This window comes from Homo sapiens, chromosome 3 (genome assembly GCF_000001405.40).
Source record: "Homo sapiens chromosome 3, GRCh38.p14 Primary Assembly".
NCBI classification, from domain to species: domain Eukaryota; kingdom Metazoa; phylum Chordata; class Mammalia; order Primates; family Hominidae; genus Homo; species Homo sapiens.
In genome coordinates, this window is record NC_000003.12 from 131,823,602 (window position 1) to 131,850,544 (window position 26,943).

At 37.7% G+C, this 26,943-nt stretch overlaps 1 protein-coding gene and 1 long non-coding RNA gene across 11 annotated transcripts in view; one reads left to right on the top strand and one right to left on the bottom strand.

Moving 5' to 3' along the window:
• The window catches only part of CPNE4 (copine 4), a 506,038-nt gene that overhangs the window by 290,033 nt on the left and 189,062 nt on the right, over positions 1 to 26,943 (bottom strand). The gene's annotated exons all lie outside the window — the stretch shown is intronic.
• The window catches only part of LOC105374113 (uncharacterized), a 69,117-nt gene that overhangs the window by 20,792 nt on the left and 21,382 nt on the right, over positions 1 to 26,943 (top strand). For 2 of the 3 annotated variants that reach the window (XR_007096089.1, XR_007096088.1), the window contains exon 3: positions 19,807 to 19,878. The exons of the other annotated variant lie outside the window; for it this stretch is intronic. This is a non-coding gene — a long non-coding RNA (uncharacterized LOC105374113). The remainder of the gene's footprint in view (positions 1 to 19,806; positions 19,879 to 26,943) is intronic. 3 annotated transcript variants of the gene reach the window in all.

Genomic DNA, 26,943 nt, shown 5'->3' on the forward strand with positions numbered 1-26,943 from the left:
ATCTCTGAAGCAACTTCTAATGAATGCAAAAATAACTGGAGTTGCAAAGTCACATTGCAACCACCCTCTCCTTAAAGGTTAGGTATGAAGGCCAAGTTGCCTTCATCAGCCACATTGCAAAATATTTAAAGATAAGCATACGCTACAGAGTTTAAATGACCATATATCAAAACAATATTGTTTTCAGTCTAATATTAAGTGTAGCAAGCCAGATGTTTCTTATCTTATTTAAATGAAAAAAATGGAGCTACTAGTATGCACATTAAAACTTGTAACCAGATTGTAAGATTTGGGTACAACCAATATTTCATAATTCTTTGCAGCTCCTTTAACACCCAGCAAGAGATTACAATGAATTCTTGTTAAATGAATGAATGAATGAGGGCTTGTTTCTTGATTCAGAGGGCAGAATACAGAATCTAACAAAGAATCTTTAACATACTAAACACTCAGGAAATAAAAACACTGATCTAGAAGACAGAAAATCTAAAAGCTAATGAGTTGAACAAGTCTTTTAAACTTTCTAGTCTGTAGTACTTTATATAAATAAAGTGTGAGATACAATTCTTTATATAAATAAAGAAAGGTGTGAGAAGCCCCATCTAACACTGTGATTCCATGATTCTATGAAATCATAACCCAGTTATCCAGATGAAACTTGATCTCTGATATCTTTCTTGTTATCTGATTACACAGGAATTGGGCAAAAATGTGGCTTAAAAAGAAATACAGAACTCAAAGATTAAAAAAGAACTATCCATATCTAACTATCCATGCCCAGCTTACCAGGGGACTCGAGTATATAATCAAGACGGAATTTTTTATGGTACATCAGCAACCTTTGAAAATACAACATGATGAAAATACAGCATGACCTGGTGCCTAGCCTTATCCTTTTATTGAATATGGAGGGAAAGAGGGTGGGACTGCAGAGGTTAAGACCAGTCGGCGGTCTATTGGTCTTTTAATGTTTCTGGGTCTCAGTTTTATTCATATTTAAGCAAGTAAGCCTGTGTAGACTTCTCTCAGAGGAAAATCAGCAAGTTGTATAAATGAAAGCAGATTAAGCATATGAATCCTTTCAGGAGAAAAGTTAGTTGGGGTGTCTGTTGTTTTGTATGAATCTGAACTAGGAAAGTCAGACAAACTAGAGAAGGATAAAAAGTGTCCTTCTGCTTGCTGCTGGAGTACCTTGGATCAGGGGAGTACCTTTGGATGGAGGCTTGGAGTGGACAGCAAATTGGGGAGCAGGAAGCAAAATGGGCTTGATATTCCTGAACATTCCTCATAGCAGCATGGAATCTTGAAGTCTTAAAGGAACTACTCAAGTGGGACCTCTAGTCCTGTTCTCATAAAATGTGATACTTGAACTTCCACCATCAATGGAGTAGAAATGAGTTGATTGATTTTGCAAAAGCAGGACCCTTTGAAGGACCTAAGAGCTTCAGAGCCCGACAAGGGATCTACTGGGAGATTCCTTAGCAGCTTTTGGTGTCATAGTAATAAATTTTCCAAATGAAAGTAATAGTGAGAAACGGGGTCCATATGAGCAGTTTTTGCAGAAAATCCTTACAGTGAGCCTCAGAGCAGCAAATAAAAAAAGTGGTAATTTCTGGCCGGGCGCAGTAGCTCAGGCCTGTAATCCTAGCACTTTGTGGGGCTGAGGTGGGTGGATCATGAGGTCAGGAGTTCAAGACCAGCCTGACCAACATGGTAAAACCCTGTCTCTACTAAAAATACAAAAATTAGCTGGGTGTGGTGTTGTGTCTGTAATTCCAGTTACTCAAGAGGCTGAGGCAGGGGAATCACTTGAACTTGGGAGGCAGAGGTTGCAGTGAGCTGATATCATGCCGCTGCACACTCCAGCCTGGGAAACAGAGCGAGACTCCGTCAAAAAAAAAAAAAAAACATTGGTAACTTCTGTCAGTAACCATCTTTTGATGAAGAACAACACAAATGATTAAAGATACAAACTATTCCACATGAAGACAGTTGGGTAAATAGAAAAAGAGAAGGGTCGAGGATCATTTCAAACTGAAAAAGATTTGAGCCAGAGTTAAAGAAAGTTAGAATGGGCTGAAATGAAATTTATAAAAGCCTTATTTTTTTCTGTACAGATAAGGGCCAGGAGACAAGATCAGGTATTCTAACTCTGTTCAGTGATTTCTGAACATTCTGAGTTGCCTCCCCACCTCAGAGCTTTAATAAGCCTTCTTTTCATCCATTCTCTCATACCACACAGGTCAGAATAAAAGGAAAACAGCAAGACAGAGTTGGAAGTAATTTTCCACATTCATAGAAAAATTTCCAAGCAGCGTTTATATTCTATATGCCCTTGGGTCTTTATAGGCCCCCTTTTGGATAAGCTTCCTTATATCAGGTCACTCAGAATTTAGAGGGGTTAAGTAAATGAAGAAATTGATGTCACTTGCTCTTTAAGCTAACATTCTTTCCTAAACCTCATCATAAACATTGTCTTCCTTCAATAGGACCATTTGTTGAGCTCTTCAGAGCACCCCTCACCCTGTAAATGTAGACACATAGATGTACTGTATATTCTAAAACATCAGGACTTCTGGATGTCTTTTTCTTTTTTCTTTTTTTGTTTTTTGAAACAGAGTCTCACTGTGTCACCCAGGCTGGAGTGCAGTAGTGCAGTTTGGCTCACTGCATCCCCTCCACCCACCAGACTCAAGCAATCCACCTCAGCCTCCTCAGTAGCTGGGACCACAGGTGCTTGCCACCATGCCTGGTTAATTAAAAAAAAAATTTTCTTTGTAAAGATGGGGTCTCACTATATTGCCCAGGCTGCTCTCAAACTCCTAGGCTCAAGCAATCCTCCTGCCTCAGCCTGTCAAAATGTTGAGAGTACAGGCATGAGCCCCTGGGCCTGACCAGGATGTCTTTTTCTTAGTCATCAGAATCCAATGAGCTCTGTGTCTTCACAGACAGCCCAAGTTGTTTTTTTGTTTGTTTGTTTGTTCGCTTTTTCTCGCTGTTAATTCCCTATCTTCCCTATTCTTTGGAGATTGCTCTATTTTGAAGTTCTTACGTGTATTATAGCTCTTCTTCAAAGGAACAAATTTGAATTACCCTCAGAAATCCTCTTATAGGATTCAGAAAAGATGCATTTAAAACTTCAGTCTCAGGTCAGGCACAGTGGCTTATGTCTGTAATACCAACATTTTGGTAGGCTGAGGTGAGAGGATCACTTGAAGCCAAGAGTTTGAGACTAACCTGGGCAATATAGCAAGACCCCATTTCTACTAAAAATAATTTTTTAAAATTAGCCAGGTGTGGTGGTGGACACCTGTACTGCTAGCCACTTGGGAGCCTGAGGTGAGAGGATCACTTGAGCCCAGGAATTTGAGGTTGCAGTGAGCTTCTGTGATTGCATCACTGCACTCCATCCTGGGTGACAGTAAGACCTGACTCTAAAAACAAAACAAAACAAAAAAAAACAAAACAAAACAACTTCAGTCTCAGAGACAGGTACTATTTGAGAGAAGAATAATGCCTCAGAGGATTATCACTTTAAATAAAACACCATTAAGCCCTTTCAGCCCAGTTCTCAATTGCTTTTATGCCCAACCAAAGACACCAAATAATCTAAAATGTGTTCTGGTATGAAATCAGACTTTGCATTGTAAAAATGAGCCATTTATTCCAAAGTTTCTTTAGCCTTGCCAGTAATGAAAAGCTGCCTCACTGCACACATGACTTTAATGTACATCTATTCAGGAGTGAAGCAAGACTGTGGTAAACTAGGTAGACATGGTAATTCATGGCTACTCATGGGCAGCCAGTCTCATGGACTCACCTGCAGTGGTAGCCTCTTGCCTTATTTCACTTGTATTTGTTGAAGAAAAGCAGCAACGGACAAATAAGATATAGCTGCTAGCACAGCAAGATGTGAAACATTTTATGACCTAAACACAATAACCCATAATGCAAAAAACCTGCAAAATAGAGCAGAGTGAATCAAATTCACTAGAGAATTCCTTTATTTTTACCACAATGGCTGTTATGCTTTAGAATACTTACTTCCAATCTTGGCCCTTAATTATATCATAAGAAAAGGTCAACACCTTTGGGTGTTGGGATGGAAATGTAGGAAAGTATGCTTTTTAAGTTGAATTTGTAATAGAAACAAATGAAAAACTAATAAGAAAAAAATGAGAGAATTAAACATGGAGCAGATCCAGATGGGGCAAGACATAAATATAGAGCAGTTTCAAAGCAAACCTTGCAAGATACCAGTCTGGTACCTTGTATGATTTTCCTAGGCTGAGGACCTGACAGATTCTTAAAAAATACCTTGTGACATGCATTATGCTCTTCACAAAGAGCATATCTGAGCTCTTCACGAGGTTCCTGCAAAGAGCTCATATTTCAATGAGGGAGAAAGAAACAGAAGAAACAATTTAAAATACCCTAATGTGATAAGTCATATATATGGCAGTAGCATCCCTATTGTCTAGAAAAAGCCACTATAACATTGTATTGCTTAGAGTCTAAATTTATTTAATGTAATTTTCTGATTGCTCAATACTTAAATTTTATTCCCCTCACTGCTCTTTTTTCATTGAGAGTCTAATTTACCTATAATAAAAGGCACAGATTTTAAGAGCACAGTTCAATGAGTTTTGGCAAATGTATATACTCATCTAATCAATACTATAATCAAGATATAGAATATTTTCATCAACCAAGAAAGTGTCTCCCTAATTTATAACACCTTAGCTTAGTTTTGGTTATTTTTGGTTCATGTAAATAGAATCATACAGTATGTACCTTTTAATATTTGACTCCCATCAGTCAAAAAATTGTCTACAAAATTAATCCATGCTATTATAAGCATTGGATTTTTTCTTTTTATTGCTGAGTGTTGCCCCGTTGTATGAATATACCACCATTTGTCCATCCATTCTCAAGTGGAATGCAATTTAAATTATTTCTGGTTTGAGCTGCTGCAAAGAAAGTTGCTCTGAACAATGTTGTGTAAGTCATTGGGTGGTTATATTTCTTTCTCTTGGATGAATATTTAGAAGGGGAACTGTTGAGTTCACACATTGTATTCTTGAACTCTTATTTTGACTTATTTCTTGATGATCATAGCCACTTGGGAGCCTGAGGTGAGAGGATCACTTGAGCCCAGGAATTTGAGGCTGCAGTGAGCTTCTGTGATTGCATCACTGCCCTCCATCCTGGGTGACAGTAAGACCTGACTCTAAAAACAAAACAAAACAAAAAAACAAAACAACTTCAGTCTCAGAGACAGGTACTATTTGAGAGAAGAATCTTTGAACACTGTATTAGTCTGTTTTCATACTGCTGATAAAGACATACCTGAGACTGGGCAATTTACAAAAGAAAGAGGTTTATTGGACTTAAGGTTCCACATAGCAGGGGAGGCCGCACAATCGTGATGGAAGGTGAGGAGGAGCAAGTCACGTCTTACATGGATGGCAGCAGGCAAAGAGAGAGCTTGTGCAGGGAAACTCCTGTTTTTAAAACCATCAGATCTTGTGAGACTCATTCACTATCACAAGAATGGAAAGGCCTTCCCCCATAACTCAATCACCTCCCATCGAGTTCCTCCCATGACATGTGGGAATACTGGGAGATACAATTCAGGATGACATTTGGGTGGGGACACAGCAAACCACTTCAAATACTTTTGCTGAAGTTTGGTTAATGGTATGTTTCTTGAGAAATGGTGTATTTTTTGAGAACTTATATAGAATATCTTTGTTTTCTATGTACACAAATAATATACATTTGAAACCCATCTCTTTCTTCCTCATTCACTAGTAATGTCACAGCTCTAAACATACCTTATCATCATTCACCTTGAGGTAGGGACAGTATCTTTATACCATTATGATCCCAGTGCCTGGCACATGGCCGAAGGTTAGTAAATACTTGTCAAATAAAATGTGTGCCTCTGCTGAATCACCCAAACTGATATTTCATTGGTGCAATTTAGTTACTATCTTTTATCTGCAACCCAATCTCATCAGCATATGATTACTTAAAAAAACAACAAATCAAGGAGCAAAGACCCCAGTGGGACACTGCTTAACAAATGTTGATGATACTAAGCTAGAATAAATCAGAAGTGACAACTCTTCACAAGAGGATGGGGAAACATTGGTTGGATTAAGCATCATTTGTTTTTGAGATACCTTCATACACATCACTGTTCATATTATACTTCATACACATCAGGACTGTTTACTAGCAGAACACCGAGTTGCATTTCAATTAAGTCATTAGTGATGGGTTTTAGAGATGAAAATTAACAAGATCCTATGTTTATACAAATACACACATACACAAACACCTTCAAAAGTCAACACTATGGAAGATTCTAGCAAGAAGTGGTGGTCATAATTCGGATCTACCTGGTCATAGAGGCAAAGCCCACACACTTTACATATTTTTCTTCTTATATTAACCTTTTTGAGCTTAGAAGATTGCATTAAAATCTGGATGCCCAACAGCCAAATACCTAGTGTGAATTTATCCCTGTGCTACAGTGACAGTGATTCACCCTCCAATGCTCCATCCTGCACTGTCCTCTTGTTCTTACACACTCCATATCCAATTCATCCAGAAATTGTTTATCTATAAAATATATCCAGAATATGATGACTTTTCTCCACCTCCACCTTGGTCCAAGTTACTCTCATCTCTTGCCTGTATTATTATAATGTCCTTCTATCTTGTCCCCCAGCTTTCATTCTTATTTCTCTTCTGGCAACCAGCTGACAGGGTGAATCTTTTAAAAGATAAGATAGATCATTGTTATTCTATCTCCTTTCTGACACTTCACCTCCCACCATTCCACTCCTTTACACCCTACACTACAACTACTCAGGTCTCCTTGATATTTTTTGAACTTCTCCCTTGGGACTGTGCTTGTACTTTCCTCTACCTACTCTTACTGGCGAGAGACTCTTCAAGTCTTTGTCTTAATGTCACCTTCAATGAAGCCTGCTCAGACAACCCTAATCACAACCCTAATCTCAACACTCTCCTGCCTTCCAATCTTTCTTATTTCGAATCAGCTATTACATTCTTTTTACTACTTATTATTATATATTATTTATTGTTTCTCTTTTCCAATTAGTTCTACAAAGGCAAGCTTCATAAAATCATGTCTATTTTGTTCACTGATACATCCCAGGTGTCCAATGCTTAGCATATAGTAGGTACTGAATAAATATTTATTGAAGAAGTCAATAAATTTGCATTAGATGCTTTTGGTACAAGGTACCAGATAAAAGGTAAAAAGGTACAAGGTACAAAGATACAAGGAAAGTCTTCCCTGAGGTTAACTTCAGTATGGAAACTTTAGAAAATATATTTAAATATACTGTTAGAATAATTGTTCTAGGTCAATTTTTGAATTTTACCTGTAGGACTCCAGGTAAAAGTTATTTTACCTAGGAGTGGAGGACTGTTTTTAAACTACAATTTTTCTAGGTAGTTCATCTAGTATATAACATTGCTAAAAATCCTTCAAAATGGAAACAATAAGCTTTTCTTTATGGTGCAAGAAAAACATTGTCATGTTCTGGGATCAATATTTTAAAAATTCAGTTGTCTATGGCACAGAATGAATATTGAGAAATTTTAGAGGAAATTACACATCATATTATTCAAGCATTGACATTATTTTAAGAATTTCTAGCATCACATCTAAAACAAAATATGTGCTTCCCACACATCAGTCTTTCAAATGTCACCATTACTTATATTTAGATGCTGTTTTTTCTTTAAATTGACACATTAAAATTAAATATATCTAAACACTGGAGCTTTGTATTACTACTACTGATGGAAAATCAGTATCACTTAGCACAAATAGATGAGAAAAATCAAAATACAAATTATGAAAACTAAAAAATTTATTAAATTCTAGCAAGGTACTATTGCTGGCCTAATGTTCTGAGTCTGAAGTCTTTCTCTTCTATGTTGAAAATGAAGAACACAAAAATGTTAAAAGATACAGAAACATACGCTGTAATATAAAACTAAAATTTTCTTTTATACATTATCAGGATAAAAAATTTTAAGGGATAACTGTCTCATTTTGAGTTTCAATATATCCAGATTTCATGTTTAACATCATCTCTTGTGTCACTAGTGTCCGAGGGTGGTTAGTGCGGACTTTGTCATTCAATATTTGGATTTCAATGCTGACCTCCTCACTTACTGACTCTGCAGCCTTGAGCTAGGGAAATAATCTCTCTAAGTTGTATTTTCTTTCATCCATAAAATAGAGCAAATAGTGCCGATTTTGCTGATATGAGATATGACAGTTAAATAATATAATGTACAAAGGCACAAACCAGGTGTTTTAAATGTTAATTCCCTTCTTGGTCAAAAAGATTCTTAGCTTTTAGTTTTAATGACCAAAATACTCTCTGTTCATTCAGGTCAACATGAGTTCTCATTGTCAGGGGTTCAAAGTTCTATCTAATGGGCTTATAGCTTATACTTTGTAATTGACATTAATATTAAAATGTCATTATAGCTTTAGAGGCGTTTGTTATAGAAGTCTTATATAGCAAGTATTATAGATTGATTGTAAACTCCCAAAACTCATATGTTGAAATCCTAATCCTTAATTTGATGAAGATGGGAAGGAATGAGGAAAACCTGTCAGATTTATTGGCTTTCACAGGAGAACCATAGAATTAGTGCTCTATTCTTCAAGATAATAGAAGAGTGAACACAAAGGAGAGTCAGAGATCATCTACCTCATGGTTTCAAAAGTGGGGGACCATTGCCTTTCTTTCAAGGACTAGACAGAGTCTCTGCCAGAACTTTGCAGGTGGGACTGCCAGGCAGTCTCCTGGTGACACACTCAGTGGGCCTGAAGGTCAAGACATCAAGCCAGAGAGGGTTACTCTTGAGCCTTAAAATCTCATGGATTTTACCTTGCAGTATGGACTTACTTGGGATCCATTATTCTTTTCTTCTTTCTTATTTCTTCCTTTTGGAATGGAAATGTCTATCCTACATCTGTCCCACTATTGTATTTTGGAAGCACATACCTTGTTGGATTTCACAGATTCACAGATGGAGAGCAATTTGCCTCAGGATAAACTGTACCTTCAGTCTCACCCATATATGATTTAGATGACATTTAAATGAGACTTTAGATTTTAGACTTTAGAGTTGATGCTGGAAAGAGTTGAGACTTTTGTGGCTGTTAGGATGTAATGAATGTATTTTGCATGAGAAGTACACAAATTTTGGAGGACCAGGGGCAGAATGCTATAGACTGACTGCTATAGACTGTTACGCTCAGTCAAAATTTGTATATTGAAATCCTAATCCTCAATGTGATAGTATTAGGAAGTGAGGCCATTGGTAGGTGATTTATGAGAGCAGAGCCCTCATGAGTAGGATCAGTGCCTATAAAAGAGACCCCAGAGCCTTGTATCTATAGCCACGTGAGGACATAGCAAGAAAGTGCTGTCTATGAATCAGGAAGTACACCATCACTAGACACCAAATCTGCTGACACCTTGACCTTAGATTTTCCAGTCCCTAGAACTGTGAGAAATAAGTTTATGTTGTTTATTAGCCACCCAGTTTATAATATTTTGTTATAGCAGCCCAAATAGATTAAGACAGCAAGCCCAGCCAGTTTTGAATGGAGAATAACTGGAAATGATAGGGATAAGTGAGAGTTCTTTGGAAACAGGATAATCTCTCAATATCTACAGCTAAGCATTCCATTTATATCAGAAGAGGGCTGGCCCAAAGTATCATGATATAAAATCTGCTTGGGGCTGGGAGGAGTGATCCATGCCTGTAATCCCAGAACTTTGGGAAGCCCAGGCAGGCGGATCACTTGAGCCCAGGAGTTTGAGACAAGCCTTGGCAGCACAGTGAAACTCCACCTCTACTAAAAAATACAAAAATTAGCTTGGGTGTGGTGGCATGTGCCTGTAGTTCCAGCTACTGGTCAGGGGGCTGAGGCAGGAGAATCACCTGAGCCCAGGAGGTCAAGGCTACAGTGAGCCATGACTGTGCCACTGCACTCAACTCTGGGTGATGGAGCGAAACCTTGTCTCAAAATAATAAAATAAAATCTGCTTGGACTGACTTGCTCAAGGACAATTCCTCAAAACTGGAGAAATTTGCAAAGGTCACCACCAACTCATCAAGAACATCTCACATTTTCAGTTATCTTGTGTATCCCACATTTCATGGTGCTTCCGTCTTCCACTGTGCGAGCCACATATAGTGCTGCAAGAGGAAATTGACATTTGGGGCATATTTCCCCCTTCTGTACAAAAGCCAGAGCAATTGAGGGTGAAGATATGTCTTTATATTTATATAGCTATTAAAGTGGTTAGTTAAAATTATTTGAATAATTCAAAAAATTAAGCAGGAAAGCATGAAATATCTGCAAACTGAGAAAGATACAATCACTTATTTATGGAACACCAATTTTAATTTTATATTTTGAAAAGATGGCAATAAATATTTATATGTTTCTCATTTTTTTAAACACAAAAGCCAGGGAGGAAAATGCAGACTACAGTGAAAGCTTGTGGTTTAAATTCCCTTTTTAGATTTTATAATAACCTTTATCTTCCTGAATTTTCTTCCTTTATTAGTATTATGGAACAGCCAGACTTAATTATCTCCTTTTAATTTGTGTTTCTTATTTCTTTTGTTTGGCTCATACACTTGTTTATTCCTTTAGATGTGGATTGGTGAGGGAGGGGTAGAAGAGTGAACACAAGGAGATTCTATGTCACCTTTTATAAGAGAAGTTAGACTTTATTTTCTTATTTAAATTTCAATAGATGATTTGTTAGGCTTAAAGCTGTGGGTGGTGAAGAAATTCTTCTTTGAAGAAAAAGCGTATTCATTCAGTAATTATATGTGTTAGTAAAGAATCACTAAGTAAACAAGAGTTCCAGGACAATCAATAACTATTTGGAGAGAAAAAAAAATCAAGTTACCACAACTTTTCACAAAAAAATAAAAATCAATTCAAGATAGATTATGATTTAAAGGTAAAACAAATACATAAAACTAAAGTCTTAACTGATTGCTTATCTGATCTTAGGAGGTAAAAAGAAGAAATCACAGTAGAAAAAAACTATAGATTTATGCAAAATAATGAAAACAAAAAGAAAACCTGGAGAAATTACTTGACAGAAAATACAGTTACTGTAAACAGGTAGTGTATAAAGTAAATATATAAAGTTTTGGTATTAAATAATAAGAACAACATCTAGGTCTCATTTGAAATTGGCCAAAGGACATGAGTAAGTAATTAAGACAGGAAATAAAAATTAATGACAAACATAGAAAACAAATTCTATCTCACTAGTAATAAAAATAGAATGATAGCTTCAAGTTCCAGTCAGGATGGAATAAGCACATTCCACCCTACTTCTGCTAATTTCAACAAACACCCTGGATACACTTAAAGCACTTATCCAGAAGATTTTGAAAGATGGATTCAAAAAGATGGTTGGGCTAGTGATGAAGGAAGCCTTGACTGTGAGTTCCCTATATATTTTTGTCTCATCTATATCTTGGTTTGTGTGCTAGAGAAGCCAGCAACTCAGACCACAAAAGGGTACAGAATAAAAAGGCCCAGGGGCCAGGTGCGGAGGCTCAAGCCTGTAATCCCAGCACTTTGGAAGGCCAAGGTGGGCAGATCAGCTGAGGTCAGGAGTTTGAGACCATTCTGGCCAACGTGGTGAAATACCATCTCTACTAAAAATACAAAAATTAGCTGGGCATGGTGGGGCGTGCCTGTATTCTCAGCTACTCTGGAGGCTGAGGCAGGAGAATCGCTTGAACCTAGGAAGTAGAGATTGCAGTGAGCCAAGTTCGTGCCACTGCACTCCAGCCTGGGCAACAGAGAAAGACTCCATCTCAAAAAAAAAAAGTCCCAGGAAAAACCTGTTTCCTCCATTCAGAGGACTGACAAGAAGGAGGCTTTGTAAGACAGAAGCCTTTTACCCTACCTGCCCTAATAATACCACCAAGGACGCAGTTCCCTTCTCACTCCCCACCAGCCTATCTGTGACATATAGGTAGGGATGCCCCTTTTTTGCCTCTCCCCAATAAGTGTACTTTCCAAAGGGTCTGTGCAATGGAGCCCTATTAACCTACCCCTTCCTGAGGTGGCACATGTCAATGAAGAGGTGGTGACTCTCCTCCTCCCCAAGCATGGCTGCTGCAGATAGAGTAGAGTGGAGCTCTGTAGAACTACCCCAGTCCCTCACTAAGCAAAGGTAAGCAAAGGCAGCATCTCTCTACCTTCCCCCATTCCCACAGTTGGAGAGGATTACTAAGAAGAGAGAGGTAGGAAAGGAATCTTTTCAATCTTTGTATGAAGTCCTAGGCTTACCCTGAAGTGACCTATGCAGGAAACTGACCACAATCAACACAGCAAAAACTTTGAGAACTGAATGAATTATGGCATGAAATATCACACTGGTTTCAGGTTGGCCTCTGGGTAGCAGTGCACAAGTGGCGCAGATCAGAATAGCATTTTTAAAGGCTTTAAAAAATGAAACTGAGAGTTGAACCATGCCCTTATGATCATAGATCCAAAAATTCTCAACAAAATGTAAATACATAAAAGGGATAAGACACCTATACCCTGACCAAGTGGGGTTCATTCTAGGATGCAAAGCTGGTTCAATACTCAAAAATTAGTTAATGCAATCTCCCATATTTACAGTCTAAAAGAAAAAAAGTGTACGATTATATTAATTAAAGCAGAAAAGCCTTTGATAAAATTTAACACCCATTTGTGCTAAAAACTCTCAGCAAAGTAGAAACAGAAGGGAACTTCCTCAGCATGATAAAGAGAATCTACAAAATAACCTACAGCTAACATTATATTTAATGGTGTCAGACTGAATTCTTTCTCCCAAAGATCAGGAACAAGGCAAGCATGTCTACTCTCACCACTTCTTTTCAAGATAGCACAGTGCAACCAGGCAAGCAAAAGAAATATAGTTTGAAAAGGAAGAATATCTGTCTCTGCATGACCAAGGATTAGGCAAAGAGTTCTTAGACATGAAATCAAAAGCATGAACCATAACAGAAAGTTGGTAAATTAGAGTTTATCAAAATGAAAAATTTGTGTTTTGCTAAAGGCACTGTTATGAGAATGAAAACTCAAGCTACAGATTGGGAAAAAATATTTGCAAGTCATATGTCCAACAAAAGACTTGTATAACCAGAATATATAAAGAATTCTCTAAACTCAACAGTAAGAAAACAAGCCATCCAATTTAAAAAGCGGGTAAAATACTTAAAAATACACTTCACCAAAGATACACAGATGGCAAATAGGCATATGAAAAGATGTTCAATATCACTAGATATTAGGAATATGCAAATTAAAGCCACAATGAGATACTACTACACATCTATTAGCATTGCTAAAATAATGGCAATATTGGCAATACCTACTGCTGATGAGATAGCAGAACAACTTGATCTCTCATGTACTGTTGGTGGGAATGTAAAATGGTACCACCAGTTTGGGAAGCAGTGTGATAGTTTCTTATAAACTGACAAATATGACTGAGCAACCCCATTCCTGAGTGTTTACACTAGAAAAATGAAAATGTACATTTACATAAAAACCTGTACATAAATGTTCATCACCTCAAACTGGAAACAGTACAAATGTCCTGTACCAGTTGAATAAATTGTTGGATGTCTATATCATGAGATATTACACAGCAATAAAAAGGGACAAACTATTGATACCCAAAAAGGATGGCTCTGAAGACATTATTCTGAGGTGAAAAAGCCAATCCCAAATAGTTACACAGTGTGTGATTTCACTTTATATAAGATTCTCAAATGACAAAATTACAGTGATGGAGAACGGATTAGTGATGCCAAAGTTGTGGATGGGGAAATAAGTGACTATAAAGGGATAACACAGGGAGATTTTTTTTGGGGGGTGAGTGATAGAATAGATCTATATCCTGATAGTGGTGATGGTTGTACAAATCTACACATGTAATACATGTAATAAAATTGATAGAACTATATACTACCCTCCACCAAAAATGAAAAGAAGATGAAGAGAGAAAGTACATGGAAAAACTGGTGAAATCCAAATAATATCTGTCATTTAGGTAATATTATTGTACCAAATTCAAATTCAGTCTTGATAATTGTACTAAGGTTATTTATATATGATGTTCTCTTGGGGGAAACAGGATAAAGGGTACAGGGGAACTTTCTGTAATATATTTTTAAGAGCATTATTGAAGTATCATATACATAATATTAAATTCACTCATTTCAAGTGTATAATTGAACAGTTTTTAGTAAGTTTACAGAGTTGCAAAACCATTACCACCATTTTTAGAGTATTTTCATCACCCTCAGAAGAAACCTTAGAATCATTTGCAGTCACCTTTGTTCCCATCCTCAGCTTTAGGCAACTTTCTGTCTCAATAGATGTGCTTTTCCTAGTCTCTGTACAATTTTTGCAGCTTCTATGTTAAGTCTAAAATTATTTCAAAATAAAAATGTCAAAAAATGATTTTGAAAACTAATGACCTTAAAATTTGTTTTACTAATACATTTGACAAAATTATAAGACATTCATGTTGACTCTTTCTATGCAAATGGATATTTTAAAGGCTTCATATTCAATATATATTAGAAAAAATACAAAGAACAAGATTATGATATAGTTCTGTTAGTCAGTGCTTAGAAGCACTAGTCTTATTAGAGCACCCAAGATAATGCAACAGAGAACAGAGAAAATTCAGCTGTTATTGCTGACAAATTTACCCCACAGAGACCAGTAAGAAATACACAGGTATGCAAAGCACTTAACTAGTTTATTTCCGTGGGTGATACAATATATTTAAAAATAAACCCTACAAATCCTGAAAATCAATAGTAAAGGAAATAACATTAAAATTTCAGATTAAAATAATAATAATGTTGATGAACATTAAAGTATTCCTTAAAGGCTTTTACCAAAAGAAAATCTGACAGAGAGAAAAACCTATATAAGAATCTCATAGAACTTTAATACAGAAGGTATTAAAGTACTTTTATACTATAAAAGTACTTGTTTTTATTTTTAAAACAATAAGCTCAGGTGATAGGACATCATTTTAAAAGTATTTCAATACCTTCAGTAAATTCTAGTTACTATATGTATATTCGTATACATGAATATGTGTGTATATATATATATGCACATATGTGAATGTATTTAGTAAATATATGTGATTTACAATGACTTAAAATATAAAATTTCTGAGTTATAAGTTTTCTTAGACCAAATAAAATATATTCTTAGTTTTCAGCTAATAAAAAAAGCCTTTTAAAATAAAGCAATTTTGATATAACACCTTATTCAAAAGAGTCAGATAATAATGGAGTACAGATTGGTGTAAGCTTTTTAGAAAACAATCTTGTAATATGTATCAAAAGCCTTAAATAGTTCATTATCTGGTTTTAGAAATCACCTTTGTAAAAAAAAATCTGAGGTGAGGACAAGAATTGTGTGCAATGCTGCCCTCCATATCTTTGCATTTTAATGATGAAAGATTTTTTGAAAGAAAATACTTGCATTAAAATGGTGAACATTTTGAATAATTAAAAAACCTACATTATAGAGAATAAGTCAAAAAAATCGTGTTATGTCCACACAATGGACTTTTCAAGGTAATCTATAAAGATAATATTGATGGAGACAATATAACACCATGGGAAAATGCTTATAATATAATGTAAAATTAATTTTAAAATCAAGGTACAAAATATATATCATACATTATATTAAAATATATTTATATTTACTTAATTTATGCTGATTTATATATTTAGTTAATAGTGTTGATAAACATTTATATTTATTAACATAGTGAGATTACATATTTGCATATGCATTTTAATTTTATATATCAATATATTAACCTGTTTATTTTATGCACATATATTCATTTATACATATATAGTACAATATTGATAGTGATTATTCTGAGTGGTGGGTTTATAGTATACATTTATTTTGTACTTTATATTTTTGTCACACATGGGTTTGTCACAGCATATGTATGTGTAACATGTGAGCATGTAATAATGTTATAAAAAGAAAAAAAGACTATTGGCTTGAAAGTGAAGAGAACTGGCACCTAGTTATTGTGTTGCCACTACCAGGTAACCCCAGGCAGATTGTTAAAATATTCTAGTTCTCAATTCTATCACCTGTTAAAGGAGGGGTTACGTTATGCCATTGCAAAGTTTCATTATAGCTCTATTCTTTTGCAGTTCAATTATCTATCATGTATGAGGCCCTATACGAGGCAATGTCAGATGGATGAAGTGCACTTAACTTCATGGACTTTAATGTCCAATCAGGAGGAAACAATCATGAATATACATACATACATTCATGTAGCATGAGGGAGAACTTGGTGAGTGCCATGAGGGGTTAGGTTAGTAAAGGGAAAAGCCACATCTGTCAGGGTGAGTAGAAACATTTTAATGAAGGAGTTAGCATAGTCAGCCTTATATCTTCTACTCCAAGTTCAGCTGATTTTCTCCTCTATAATTTTCTCAATTAGTTTCCAATTTTATTCCATTAGTCATTTGGATCATTATTAGTTTTTATTTGAATTTCCTCTGCAGTGAGCCCTGTCAGCAGCCAAAGAGTGACACAGAACTAGTGAATTGGAATCCAAAAGAACAAATCACAGCTCAGTTAACAAATATGTTGGCTAAATGCCAGCCTCAGTAGGAAACAGTCAGCCAAAATATTTATCAACAGGATTTTAATTCTACAGTTTGATTTAAATTTCTGCTCAGCTGAGTGTGTGGTATATCTAGCTAGTTAACTCTAGAATTCTAATCAAAGGACTGTCAAAGCAGCAAGACAAATATTTGTGTTAGTGCTGCAGTTGCTAACTTCAGATGAGATGATGTGGCTCTTGAACACATTCAGACACCACCCTGAGTTCTTGGCAGCCCTTTGAGGAGTCCTTTATGGTGCTTATTAACTAGCTTTTTGTGCCATGCCAGTTGTATGTCCCCATATCCCCATATAGGCTTCTAGAATACGAATTCTGGCTTGTTAATGGCCCAATCTTGGTAGAAAATGCACTTGGAGTGGTTTTCTGGTAATAGTTATATAAACAGGCATTCACACCAACTCAGGGGAGTCTCAGGTGTGACCATTTATCTTGATGTGGGGCCACCTGCTGTGTCATCTTCTTGAGGAAACTTCTCAAGGAGTGGTGTGACTTCCTTTTAACCTTTCCTTCTCTTTCTGCTCTCTCCCTCCTGCCTGCACCCACACATTTCTCTGTGGGAAGAGAACAGAACTCTGTTCTTCCCCCATTCATCACCACTTCTTAAGGGAGAGAAATGTTGTTTTCGTTCTTCAAATAAGTGTAGTCTATCACCATACTAAGCTCAAATGGTTAGACAGAACCATCAAGCCACTTCAGGAAGAGAGGAGTTACATAGGAAGTATCAGGTCTTCATGTTTCAACCTCTTGTTGGCAGAAAAAAGGATAGGGAATCAATGTTTGGTTTAAAGTCCCATAAGGAAGTGGTTATTCCCTTCCAAAGAAGTATAAACTGCCTCCCCTTTCACTGTCATGAGGCAAATAGATTTCTAAATAGGAAAAGAGCACAGAGAATTTAGATGTGAACACAGGGTATTTAGAAAAGCAAAATTACATCACTAAGCATGCATAGAAATCATCACACAGGGGTCCCCAACCCCTGGACCATGGACCAGTACCAGTCTGTGGCCTGTTAGGAACCAGGCTGCAGAGCAGGAGGTGAGCAGAGGGCAAGTAAGCATTTAGCTCTGCCTCCTGTCAAATCAGTGGCGGCATTAGATTCTCATAGGAGCATTAACTGTGAACTGCACATGTGAGGGATCTAGGTTACGTGGTCCTTATGATAATCTAACGCCTGATGATCTGAGTCTGAAGTGGAACAGTTTCAACCCAAAATCATCTCCTTCCTTCCCCACCCCATGTCCATGGAAAAATTGTCTTCCACAAAACTAGTCCCTGATGCCAAAAAGGTTGGAGACAGCTGACCTATCACTGTAATGAACATGGAGATGGACCACCCATATCTTCCTTCATGCCTGTTGCAGCTGGGAGTGCAGTTAGCAATTAGTCCTCATCTATCAGCCTCTTTGGAGATCACCTCAGTTGCAAAGTAAACTATAAACAATAAAGAAGGAAATATCCTGATATGAAATTGAAGGTGGTTTCTGCCATATTGGGAGGAAATAAAAGTTCTGCCTGAGTTAGAGATGCCTGGAGAGAGGGTGTGTGCGTGTGTGTAAAACAGCAGTGCTGAAACACGAGTTGAGACCTGCCCTCTGCCTCCTTCTTTAGGAATAGATGGAATAGAAACTGTAAATGGACTTAGGCTTGAAGTGCCTGGGCCAACCTGTGCCAGCCTGGGCCTTAGAGTGCCTGGGCCAACCTGTCTACCACAAAACAGAAATGGCAGAATGGCATCGTGAAGGAGAGGAGAGAGATGAGAAAGCATATTTTGGTTTTCCAGTGGCTGAATGTGGTCTGCAGAAGTTTCTACAAAGAATGGGAATGGGCCAAAGGGCCAATAAGCTGAAAGAAACCTTCACTTTGAATGAGGAGGGCATAGAGAGGAAGTTGGCAGGGACCATGAATCATCAGCAGGTTCTAGAGCTCCACTAATGACCAACTGGATCCATTTCCAAGACCACTTAGCACAGTGGATATAGACATCTACTTCAGAGGTGGCCAGCAGGGATCCAGATGACTGCATGAGAACTGGACTCTCTTCCTCTGTGTTGTGTAGTTATACAAGTACCCACTCTGAACCCAGATAACATACTGGAAAGAGGACAGGAAGGGGAAATTCCTTGAGAGGGGAGAATCACTTAGATAAGAAGTTTGCATTTTGAATTGACTATTTAAATCCTCAGTTGACTATTTACACCAACATGATTGTGTTAACCTGGACAAGACTGCAGTGAATTGGAAGTGACAGTTACCTCCAACAGGCAAGCTAAGTTTTCCATCACCACCAATCAGAAATGAGGGCTCAGAAGCAAGTTATATTCTGTTGTAAAAAAAAAAAAAAAAAAAGAAAAAGCCATATCTCTTCACATCTGAAGTGCTGAATTGTAAATAAAAAAAATTAAGCCACCTATGTACATTTAAAAGTAACATGAAACACTTGATTCCACCAGACATATAACTGAAAAGTGTTCCACGATAGGAAAAATCAAAACGATATACAGCATTTACCCATAAGACAAATACGGCATATAAGAACAAGCCACAAATCCATATCCTGAGTCCTGCACCGGTGCTCTAAAGGCTTACTCCTAATCTCACCCCTTCCGCTATTATGCAAGGGTACCTTGGGTTGGGGCTGCCTTTATGATTAAAGGCATCTCAATTTGCCCATAGTAAAAATAAGTAAAACCCAACGATTTTCATCACAAAACACTGAGCAAATGCTAAATGACAATAATTAAAATTCAGAAAAAACAAGTCTTATCCCTATTACTCCTATCTCTATACACCGTGCCGGATATGATTCTGAGAGACTTCTGGAAGGCAGTGGGGAGGGGAAGAGGAGGCAGTTGCTGGCAGAAAATCAGAGAATCTGCAAGTTATTTGTGCATAAACTGAGTGGGACAGGGCTTGCTATTTGAATTGTGCATGCTTCTGTTTTATCGAACCCATTCCTCACCCACACGTATTATAGGAGCTGTCATCTCTTATTTACACACTACAGGGTACGTTGCTCAAATAAAGAGGGCAAAGCGATATGGAGCACATAGAAAAGAAGAGCGTTTACATTGAAAGTGTGAGTATTTATTAAGCAATTCAACACATTTTAGATACATTTTTAAAAGATGAAGTAACGTGTGTTGACAGTGTCCACGGTGAAAAGGAGTTATTTTCTCCCCAAATATTCAGCAGGCTGTTTGAACAGGTAGTACCTTATTTCTAGATTGTTGTTTGAAATTGTCCTAGTTCCAGCTTTTTAAAAATCTCCCTGAGCGTCAGTTTTATTTTGTGCTAAGTGGGAACAAGGAGATCTCCCTTGCAGGGTTCCTATGAGGATGAAATGATACTCCATATATCAAGCACTGGAAGTGTGAGTCTGGCACACTCTAGGGGCCTTGTCCCCTTTATCGGTGGGTCAAAATGTGCCCCTCTGTTCTGGTTTCCTTAGCCTTATATTGAGGGAGGAGATTGAGGGGATGTATTGCCATGAAACCTTTACAAAGAGCATGGATTTCTTCTCCCTGACTTGGTCTAAATATGGCCTTAACACACACAACCAAATGTCCCTTGGATAGAGCTGCTAGAAGATGTGGGAAGCATGGGGAAGGTGAGCAGCAAAAAACAACAGAAAGATGGAGAGGGAAAATTAGAAAGAAGTTTGTCCCTCCATTTCCTTATCTCTGGTTACTACTCTGCACACACCTCATCCTCGTCCCCTCTTTAGCCCCAGTCTGTGTTGCAGTTACAGCATACACAAATGTCTGCTCACTCTCTAAGGTCATTATGACATTTTGCTTAGTTCCTCAGACAGGTAAAAGCACTCTTTATGAATTAGCCCAAGAATCTCTGTATGTTCTTTTTTTTTTTTTTTTTCCGAGATGGAGTCTCGCTCCGTCACCCAGGCTGGAGCTGGAGTGCAGTGGCACAATCTCAGCTCACTGCAACCTCTGCCTCCCAGGTTCAAGCAATTCTCCTGCCTCAGCCTCCTGAGTAGCTGGGACTACAGGCGCCTGCCACCACACCTGGCTAATGTTTGTATTTTTCAGTAGAGACGAGGTTTCACCATGTTGGACAAACTGGCCTCGAACTCCTGACCTCAGATGATCTGCCTGCCTCGGCCTCCCAAAATGCTCAGTCACCACGCCCAGCCCATCTCTGTATGTTCTTATATGCAATGTTTTCCTCACTTCTTTCAAGTCCAGTGTGTTCACCAGACTGTGAGCTCCTTGAAGCTAAATTGTTATTGTAATAATTATTAACATATTACTAGTTACTCTATGCCAAATAGTTTTAAAAGATATTAGCTCATAAAATAGTCACAACAGCCATCAGTTAAGGTGTTATTATCATTTTCTCTCCCATTCCATTTTTAATTTTTAAATTGTAGAACCTATATACATAGCCACATTGCATCTTCCTTAGCCTCAACCTTCTTTCTCTTTTGAAGTTCTTCAAAACTTCATGGCTCCTACATGACACGTAAGCATATTATGTACACTACGCAAGATAATACTCTTCAAAAAGTGCAATTACTATGAGCTATGAGCTTTATCTCATCTGCTACTTCCAGTTTATACCTTTGTTATTTAATAACCATTGCTTCCCTCACTAGTTACTTCAAACTATATTTCAAAATCAGGGGAGAGAAAACGATGACTTGTGAAATCACCTAACAAAGTGAAAAATAGACTCAAAGTTTTGATTCCATTTATGTGTATTCACTGGATTTAAGACCTGCTTAAAAGCCTTAGAAAAATGATTTAAAATACTGACCTCTGACTATATGTGGCTGTTGCATCATCATAACCACCCACCATCATCAACTTATATTGAATAGTAATTCTGTGCCAGCTATCATACTCTACCATTCAAATATATTATCTCACTTAATCTTCACAACAACACTATTTACAACCTTCTTCACAACAGGAAATCGGTGCTTAAAAAAGATAAATGTTTTACCTGAGGTTACATCCAAATAGCAAACCGAGGACTCAAACCCAGTTGTCTCTGATACCAGAGTTTTTATTCTTTACTATGCAGTTCTGCCTTCCAGAATTTATACTGCTCACCCATTTAATCATAGTCAAATCTTCTGAAGGCTAAAAGTTAACTGTAACAGAAATCCCTTAATCTACTTAACTTCATTATGAGAAACATGCCATACCTTTGAGAACCCACGACAGTCAAGAGATAGAATGTGGCCCAAGGCAGTTCAAATATGTCTAAGGGTATTTTTCAGCTACTTCCACTCATTGCCTTTAACACAATAAGCACTTAATAAACATGTTGATTGATTGATTGAATAAATCAATAAAAAATCAATAAAAGCAACTCGATGAGGGCATAAAATTATTGGTACCTAATCTTTCTGGCCTGAAGTTTATGTAGAGGTTGTTCCGCTATCGTCTAGTATTTAATGTGGCAGAGATTGGACACTAGAGGAAAAAAATTCTGGATATTTACATGCTTTGTATTGTGACAGAAAACTAATCACGGTGAATTGAGGATTGAGTTTCCATTTCTTACTGAAATGGGGTAAACATTGCCAGTTTGCATCCTTGCTTTTATTCTCAATTCTGCAAAGTTAACTATAATTAAATTAAGCATTTAAAGCCTGATAGCATAGAGGTCAATAGCACAAGGTGTGAAGCCAGACTGCCTAAATTCAAATTTTTACAAGCTGAGCAATTTTGGGCAAGGCACTTAACATTTCTGTGCCTATCTCCTATATGTAAAATTTCCTATATGTAAAAATATAGTAGTTAGCTCATGGAGTTATTGTAATGAGTTAATACATGTAAATCACTTAGAAGTTCTTGGCACTTAGTAAGTACATATTCATCAAGAACATCTAGTACGATTTCCAGGATCCAAGAGGTGTTCGTTTAGTACAGATCCTCTGGAATCGCTGGTATCTTCTTCTCTCCTTACTGCATATATTTCCAACACTCTTGAGGGAATGAATTAACAGAAATTCCCTGCATGTCCAACTACCTGGATTCTTTCCCCCTCACTCACTGTGCTTTATTGTCAGAACTTTACCTGTAAAAACCCATTACATCATTCCAGTTTCCCCAGCACAGCCAGCTTCCCTTTATCCCCATTCTTTGGCTGTTGATAGGGAAAAACTGTCTCAAAATAGATGTAGTAAGAGTGGTGCTAAGGGTTTGAACTGCTCAGGAAGTGGATAAAGGTAATGAATCAGACAGAATTTATTAGAAATATTTACAGAAAACATGGCAAAAATAGAATAAACTGGCTGCTTTGTGAACTCCTACCCACACAGTAAGGAGATGACTGTTCAGTTTTCTGGTTCAGACCTGAGTAGAGAAACAAGAAAGTATTTCCCTATGTCTTTTACACTGGTAAACTGTTTCAGATGGCAGGCTGAGCATCGAGATTTTACATTCAGTTCCATAAGCTGAACCTACATGTGGCTGCTAGGGCTTCCTTGCAGCATGACAGCTGCTAATTCCAAAGGTGGACACTCCCGGAAAATTAAGCAGAAGCTCTATTTCCTTCCATGATCTTTGCTTCTGAAGTCACATAGTATCACAAGCCCACCTACAGCCCACAGCTTGAAGGGAGGGAAGTCAAAGTCATATCGCAGGAAGAGCATGAAGGATGATGATTATAGCATCTGCCCCATCTCCCCTCAGATTCTAACTAACTTGGCCTAATGGTCTCTCTCAAGTGTAATGTCATCTCATGGCTGGCTCCTCACAGGTGTGTGTTCCTGCCATTCCTCTAGCAGATTCTGGTCTCCTAAGGTTTCTGTCTCATCTCCCTCCATGGCTAGACCTGGGTCCACTTGCTCATATGTGCTTGGCTTTGCTCATCACCACTATGCCCACTAAGTATCAGCTTTGTCTGACATGTTTTATACATATGCCCTTTACCTCTCTGTCTCTCCTCCAGTAAAGAAGGGAATTCCCTTTATTTTAATATCTTTAGTCTTAGCTAGTGTAACTAGTTCTGGAAACTAATGTTCTGAATAATTTATCTTCCTGCTATCCTGGGCATATATGATTAAGCATAAATGAATGTATTATTGGCCCTGTCTGCTCAGAGAGTAAATCTGATCATTTTCCAACTTGAGGCAGAACTGGAAAGAGAATGGGGGTCGATAGGTAGTGGAATTCAGGGTTGCTGCTAATTAGGTATTAAAAATGCCAAAATATAGGTCCATTCAAATCCTACAGGGGATATACCAATAAAACGTAACACTCTTTGCATTAAAATACGCTTTCTAGTTCTTTACACTCCTTTAGGTTAGTGCTCTGTCAACTCAAGCATCAAATTCCTTGTCAAGGCTGTTTCTCTTTTTTCTTAAGGGGTCTCCCCACCCCTCCCACTTTTCTATGGTCATGTCTGGGAGGATGAGGAAGCTTGAATGCTCCTAGAAGCAGTGGAGGGCTGCCTGGTCCTGTGTTGTTCCTCTTGTAGTCCCTTCTGAACTCGAGGGTGAAAGTAGTTCACTTCACCCAGGATTTAGGTAGTAGGTCTCTGACCTCAGTGCAACTGTGGCTCTGCACAGCTGGGGTCCCCTGTGGCACCATAGACTTATCTCCTAAACACTCTTCTTCTTCATTCTGCAGAAGACTTGTATGTCCACTTTTTGTCAGATAGTACCCCTCTTGTGCTCATAGTCTGGGCCTTCTCTATACCAGAGTTTAGAATAAAATTATATGATTATTGCCAGATAAGTTTGAGTCTTACGTAAGGGGAGCTTCTGCAATTCAGGAAATCCTTTTAGCCTTCAAGACAATCAAAAGCTACACATTCACTTTCTGCTATTGCTTTATGGCTTCCTTCCTGGAGGCAAAGCCTTCCTCTAGTTGAATGTGGAGGTCACAAGCAAATAAAAAAGGGAAAAATGTATTAATACATTCTAAAACATCCTCTTTGTTTCAATATCTCTTGGCTGTCTCTAATCCCATTCATTCCCCACTCATCTTTTCTCCCTACTTTATCTCATCACACTAGTCCCCACACCAGAATTAAAATTTTCCTTTAAAGAGCATTCCTCTGAAGCTGACTTCCTTCAAGCCTGCAACATGTGAGCAAAAATGACAAAACAAAGAGGGGAGGACTACTTGTTGTTAAATATAAGAAAGGAAAGGAAGAAAAGTACCAAGCCAATGAGTTGGAGTTTGCCAGGGAGGCTTCTAAATTTATTCTGCTGTGAATTCTAAGTGGGGCATTGGAAACTTCATATCCTGGACATTTTCTTAGGTGATTAGTAATTAAATGTGCATCCAAAAAAAAAAAAAAAACCTGCAGATTTGCGCTCAACCCCAATTTGGTTCATCTGAACACAGGAGCACTTGAGAAATGCAAAATTCTTTAATCACTCCAAATTGCCCAAGCACAAACCAGGCCAAGAGCGTCAATTGCTTCTAAAATAAGATGCAGGTGTTCTGAAAAATCTACAAGCAGTCTGCTCATTTTAAATTACTCTTCACTCCATGTGCCCATAGGGAAGGGAGGATTGAAGAAGGCGTTTTTTTTTCATCACAGCCTCACTGGTGGAATGACAGTAGTGATTACAAAAAAAAAAAAAAAAAAAAAAAAAACACAGAGATATCATCCACCTCCTCTTTCTGTTTTACCTGCCCAACCAAAGTTGGTACAGAAAATACATTTCCTCAGGGAACCCTTTGATTACAATCCTAATGGTCGATTTCATCATTGGTTTTAGTTTTTCACCCTTTCTGAATTATACCCTTTGCTAAGTGATCCTGAAGATCCTCTCAGTACAAGTACAGAGCATATTTCCCCACATCTTGACTTTGGCCTTGTCCATGTCACTTCCTTTGTCCATAGAATATAGCAGAAGGGATTGTGTATTAGTCCTTTCTTGCACTGCTATAAAGAAATACCTGAAACTGGGTAATTTATAAATAAAAGAGATTTAATTGGCTCACAGTTCTTCAGGCTTTACAGTAAGCATGGCTGGAGAGGCCTCAGGAAACGTTCAATCGTGATGGAAGGGGAGGGAAACAGGAATGTTTTACATGGCCAGACGGGAAGAATAGAGAGAAGGGGGTGATGCTACATACTTTCGAACAAGCAGATCTAATGGGAACTCACTCTATATTACAAGACCAGCGAGGGGAAAATCCACACCCATGATCCAATTACCTCCCACCAAGCCCCTCTTCTAGCATTGGGTATTACAACTGGACATAAGATTTGGGCGGGGACACAAATCCAAACGATATCAGAAGGTATGTCAATTCTGAGCCCAAGCCTTAAGAGTCCTTGTTTGATTATTCTTGCTCTCCGGGACTTTTGCCATTACCATGAGTAGAATATAGCCTGGCTAGCCCTTTGGTCCCAAGAAGAAAATGAAAAATTCATGGAACAGAGCTGCCCCAACCAAACAGAATGTGAAGGAGCCCAGCCTAAATCAACTGGCTGTCAGCCAACCACAGATGTCTGAGCTAAATAAAGTCCTATTCCTGTGCCACAGAGTTTCTGTGGTTCTTTGTTCCACAACATCATTGTAGCAATGGCAAATTGACACAGTACTAAACCCAGGCATAAAAAGCTAGGAGTATCATATTCTTGGTCTGTGCTGTAACTCTATTCTTCATTGTGAGTATAGATGCTATATTCTATTGTGTATAAAATTTGCAGTATTCATGACTGTTATCCCCTTAATATTGGAGTATTATTTTGGCTGCAACAATTGACACAATCCATCATTTCCATTTCTCTGAATTTTAAAACATTTTTAAATTTTTTTTGCCAATATCCAGAATTTTTCTCAACTTAATGTTAACTAGATTTTTAAAATAGTGCCTTCTCTTTCTAAAAAATGCTCTCTAAGGGTTTTTGATGTAGGGTTATGACATCTCCAGAAAAAGTGTACCTTCTCCTATGGGGATGATGTCTATAGGAAATGAAGGCATTCTGCTGTCTGTCCTCGGAGTGTATAAGAAAGCAGACAACACTGAGTTTGAATTCAAATTTACTAGCTGTGTGGCCTCGGACAAGTTACTTAACTTCTCTGAGCCCCAATTATTTGATCGTAGGGCAGTTAAATTAAGTAGGGAATGTAGAACACCCAGCATGGTGCCTGATGTATGCCAGTAGAAGATCTCAATAAATGCTTCTTTTCAAGTGTGACTCC